Here is a 5,228-nt window from a genome sequence, read left to right as displayed (position 1 = left end):
GCCTTATATTAAAGCTAGTATATCGACTTTAGATATGGAAAGTTTTAAATTTTGATGGTCCATTGTTCAAGACAAGCTTTTAAAAATTTTTGTCATTAAGATATACCAGAAATTAAAAATTAAAAAATACACCATTTTTTAAACTCTTAATTTTTATTACTATTTCTCACTTTTATTTCTAGAACACTTTTTCTGCAAGACTCTGAGTTTTTATCATTTTATTCTTGTATGGTAGGGTATCACAGAGCCTAGTGCAGTAAACTAGGTTTGTGAACTAAATGGCTCTTATATAACAGTTTCAATTATTGTCGGTTATTCAATGGAATTTAGATGTAGGGTCCCTGGAAAATAATAAATTTTCAAGATTAAATGTTCAGAAAACAAGGAAGTAAAATGTTTTTAAAGAAATCAACCATGGTTGATGTAAAGACACTTCAACTGGACCCAAATCCAAGTAAACATTGTACAAAGCTGGGTTTCTTCACGTAGTGCTCAGTGACCACCCTGACCACTAGCCCTCTGATGAAATGGCAGAGCCATGGCTAACCACAAGACTTGTTGACTTATTTATGCAAAGGGTGAAAAAATAAATGATTTGACATTTCCCTTTGGAACTGTTTACTTCCTTATAACTCTTCTCAATGCATGCATGACTTTTTTATTTCTCAAGCTGTAAATAAATGGGTTTAGCAGGGGAATTATAATCGTGTAAAACAGAGAATACACTTTGTCTTGGTCTTCAGCTAAGCCAGATGCAGGACGCACATACATGAAGATCAGAGTTCCGTAGTACAATGAGACAGAAAGCAGATGGGCGCCGCATGTGGAGAAGGCTTTGCTTCTGCCCTTTTCAGACTTTTTTTTCAGAATATCAAAGAGCACACGAGTATAAGAGATTATGATAGTCATTAAAGTGGGTATTTGTATAAAAGCACCAAAAATAAATATCATTAGTGCGTTAATAGATGGACCATTGCATGAAATTTTGAACAGTTGTAAAATTTCACAGTAGAAATAATGTATTATGTTAAACCTGCAGAAAGTTAGTCGCAATAGTAAACTCACATGAACCAGAGGATGCAGGAAACCAATTACATATGAAATACTTAGCAACTGAGCGCTGAGTTTGTTGGACATCATCACTGGATAAAGCAAGGGATTACATATGGCTACATAGCGGTCATAGGCCATCATCACCAGGAGGAAGCATTCTGTAGTTGCACTGGAAGCAAAAAAGTAAAACTGGGTGATGCACTCAGCTAGGGATATCATTGCAGTCTTGTCTAAGAAATTGACCAGCATCCTAGGGGTTATAGAGGTTGAAGTACAAGCATCTGAAAAGGCTAAACCACCAAGGAATAAGTACATGGGCATATGAAGATGGGGGTCGTTCCAAATTAGAACTATCAGTCCAAGGTTGCCCACCATGGTGATGAGATAGACCACCAAAAACACAACAAAGAAGAGGACGTGCAGCCATGGTCGATCTGTAAGTCCTGTGAGAACAAACTCTGTCACAAGAGTCTTATTTCCCTCTGATATATCCATACTCGTCACTGTAATAAGAAAACATGTTACAAAGACAATCACTAAAGATAACACAAAGCGGTAGCATTTTATTATATTTATACCTTTGAGTTTCCCATTTAATTAACAGTTTTTAAAGTCTAACTTACATCCATTAGTAAAATCTGTTTACAAAGTGTGTGTTTAGGTATTTGACACTAAAATTGGAAAATACTGAAATGAATGCATATATTTGAGGTGTAGGGGAGGCAAAATTTTGCCTCTACTCTCTTAGTTGGCCTGAGAATCAGATGGACATAAGCCAGATTCAGAAGAGAAAAGCATACAAATGTATAAAAGTTTTACATAACATAAAAGTCCTCATAAGTAAATGAAGACCTGAACATGTGGCAAAACCTAAAGGCTTTCATACTAGGTTGAACAAAGAAAAGCAATTGTGGAAAAGCAGCTAAATTATGCAGGGAGGTAAAAGGAAGATTAGAATTATTTTAACAAGCGTTGTTTGTATAGAATTCTCTTGGATAGAATTCATTAAAAAATGAAAATAATGTTTCATTTCTTCTGGTACAGGGAGGGCATCTTTTACATGGGAGTTTTTAACCACTTGTTTTGAGGAAGAAGAGGTGAAATTAGAATGCCCTTCTTCCATCTGCTGTTTCTTTATGTACCTTTAGCTCAAAATAATCCATCTGCCAAAGTGGCATATTTTGGTGTGGCATATTCTACCACCCTCCAGAGGCAATAAAACCATGTGGAAGACCATTGCAATGGAAAAAGATGCAAATCCAAAACCATTGCATGAGAAAGAGAATTAGGCTAATCATTGAATATAGGCATAGCTACCTAATTTTTATGGCATGACAAAAGAATTCATAAAAAATGGGAAAGGACAAAACATGTTGGAAAAATATCTGTAACATAATTTGCATTAATACTTATAAAAATATATACACAACACATATATTCTCTTTTTTTTTTTTTTTTTTTTTTGAGACGGAGTCTCGCTCTGTCACCCAGGCTGGAGTGCAGGGGCGCCATCTCGGCTCACTGCAAGCTCCGCCTCCCGGGTTCACGCCATTCTCCTGCCTCAGCCTCCCGAGTAGCTGGGACTACAGGCGCCCGCCACTACGCCCGGCTAACTTTTTGTATTTTTAGTAGAGACGGGGTTTCACCGTGGTCTCGATCTCCTGACCTCATGATCCGTCCGCCTCGGCCTCCCAAAGTGCTAGGATTACAGGCGTGAGCCACCGCGCCCGGCCCACAACACATATACTCTCTTACAACTTGGCAGGAACAAGTAGACAACCTAATGAAAAAAATGAGTGAAAAATATGAACAGATATGTTTACCATGATTAATAAATATGTAAAAAAAAACCGATAAATATATGAAACAATGTTCAACCTCCTTAATAATTAAGGATATTTTTTAAATTGTCGCATCGTTTTCATTTGTCAAATAAACAAAAAAGTAAAATGAGAAATAATATCTACTGATGATAGAAAGGTGAAAAAGAGTTGCAATCTAAAATAACTGACATAAATTTTAACTGCCTTTCAAAGCTGACATCTATCAAAATTAGTAATTTATATATCTTTGATCTAACAATCTCACTTCTGGATATATATTCTAGAAATATTGTCACCCAGATACAAACGTGAAACACAAGGATACCTAATAAAGCATTGTTCATGAAGACAAAGCCAGGAAACAAAAAGAATACTCATCAATTATAGAATGACTGAATAAATTATGGTACAGTCTGACTGTGGAATAGTCTTCAGATATAAAGAAAATGGATTTGAGCTGTACCTGTTAAAAATCGGAGCATTTTCTCAATGCATTATTAAGTAAAAAAATCAAAATAGAAAGAAATGTAAATTACATAGTTCCATTTATATTTTTAATTTTTTGCGTATAAATATAAATATGATATGAACATAGATAAAGATTAATTTTTTTCTATAACTTATAAACTATCTTTGAAAGAATTTCCAGCGTAGAGCTTCCCAAATGTTTTGGGGTAAATGTGTACAAAATGATGATTACCTGCATGTTAATAGAAATAAGAATAATAAAATGCTATTTTTACCTTTAGTAAGGAATATTTGGCATTGATAGTTCTAATGTAAAATTAGTAATAAATAACCTGTAAATTTTTCTTAGAAAATATCTATTAATGATCTTTTATGTTTCATGATAATTTGCATTTAAATATTTGGTAATAGACAACTATTGAGAGCAGGAATGATTTTTTGAAATAGTCAAAAATATCTGGAAATTATGTAAGATAGATCCACGTATAGTTGTTTTCATAGTTTTTTCATACACTTTCAACACTTTTCTTATTAAATTTTACTCATAAGGGCTTCATAGGTTCTATTGCTATTATGAATATAGTATCTGATATTTTCATGAAGTAATAAGATTGATTTTCTTCTATGACTTGGTTATAAACTATCTCTGAAAAAATACCCAGAGTAGAATTTCCCAAATATTTTGAAATGACCATATAATCTCCTTTGTTCCTTGAAAGAGAAACAAAGATATATTTAACACAAAAATTGAGTTTAAATAAATTATAACATTCATTGAAGAAAACAATTTCATAATTTCATAGCCATATTTATAATAAATAGAAATGTAATACCAGAATGAATCAGAAGAATTTAGTTTATTTAAACAGTAGGAACAATGATAAGTTGTTATTCTCCATCTTCACTAAGCTGAACAAAAGGATCCATAAGTTTAAAAAACTAAACACCCATAAGGATCCCTGTTATAATACACCAAACCTAACAGTTTCACTGGAGTATATTTGCTGAAAATAGGTTATATTAAGGAAATATAATTTTCTCCCCAAAGTGGAGATTTTGTCCTAAATAAAATGGCTTCACTTTCTTTGCAATCCAAGTCACCAAATAATAGATATTTCTAGTCTCATTTCATGAATTCAGTATAATGAAGCCAAGAAGTAGTAAGGTTTGGGAATTTTTTCCTTAAGAGTAAGATGAAAGAAATACCTTCAAGTTGGAGTAAAGGAGACAATGCTAGCTGTATTTATTGACTTTAGCTTTTAATCTCATGATTCCATGATATTTAAAAATCTAGGTATTATAGACAGCCACTAACTCAAAGGCTACAATTATTTACATTCTGCAAAACCACAAATCATGTAGATAACAATCTGCATATCTTGTATCTCAGCTCTAAACTCTCTATATGATAAAATAAATTTCAAAGCTGTGTTATCATTTTTATTATAATGTTTTCCCATTTACTTCCTTCTTCTATTAAACTATATTATTTATGAAACTTTGTGAGAAATTTGTCTTCTCTACAGAAAGACATCCTGTCCCATCTGTCTAGGTTTTGATGGTTGATTGAGAAAATCTCAATGCCTCACTGAAATTTTAATTTCTTGCATAGATACCTCATTATCACCTAAAGACAAATTGCAAAACGATAAATAATAGAAATTGCAGAAATCACTATACTCTCATCCAGTTCCCACAAAAACACTGGGAAATTGGAAAGTGATACATTTTCTAAAGTAGCACAGAAAAAGCAGAAATGAGATAGTTGTTACTTACACACTGAATTTAACCAGTAATTTCAAAATGGGTGGAGATAATATGTGTTTTATTTCCAAAATTGTTTTTGTTTAAAACCAAAGGAAAAAGGAAAGGAAGATATTCCCT

At 32.9% G+C, this 5,228-nt stretch overlaps 1 protein-coding gene across 1 annotated transcript; it reads right to left on the bottom strand.

Moving 5' to 3' along the window:
* OR5AC2 (olfactory receptor family 5 subfamily AC member 2) lies at positions 619–1,548 on the bottom strand. The gene has a single exon (NM_054106.1). It carries the CDS (start codon positions 1,546–1,548, stop codon positions 619–621), a length of 930 nt encoding a protein of 309 aa, NP_473447.1.

The sequence above is a fragment of the Homo sapiens genome, chromosome 3 (assembly GCF_000001405.40).
Source record: "Homo sapiens chromosome 3, GRCh38.p14 Primary Assembly".
In the NCBI taxonomy this organism is placed as follows: Eukaryota; Metazoa; Chordata; class Mammalia; order Primates; family Hominidae; genus Homo; species Homo sapiens.
Note: the sequence above shows the minus strand (reverse complement) of the source record. Positions and strands in the feature narration are given on the sequence as shown.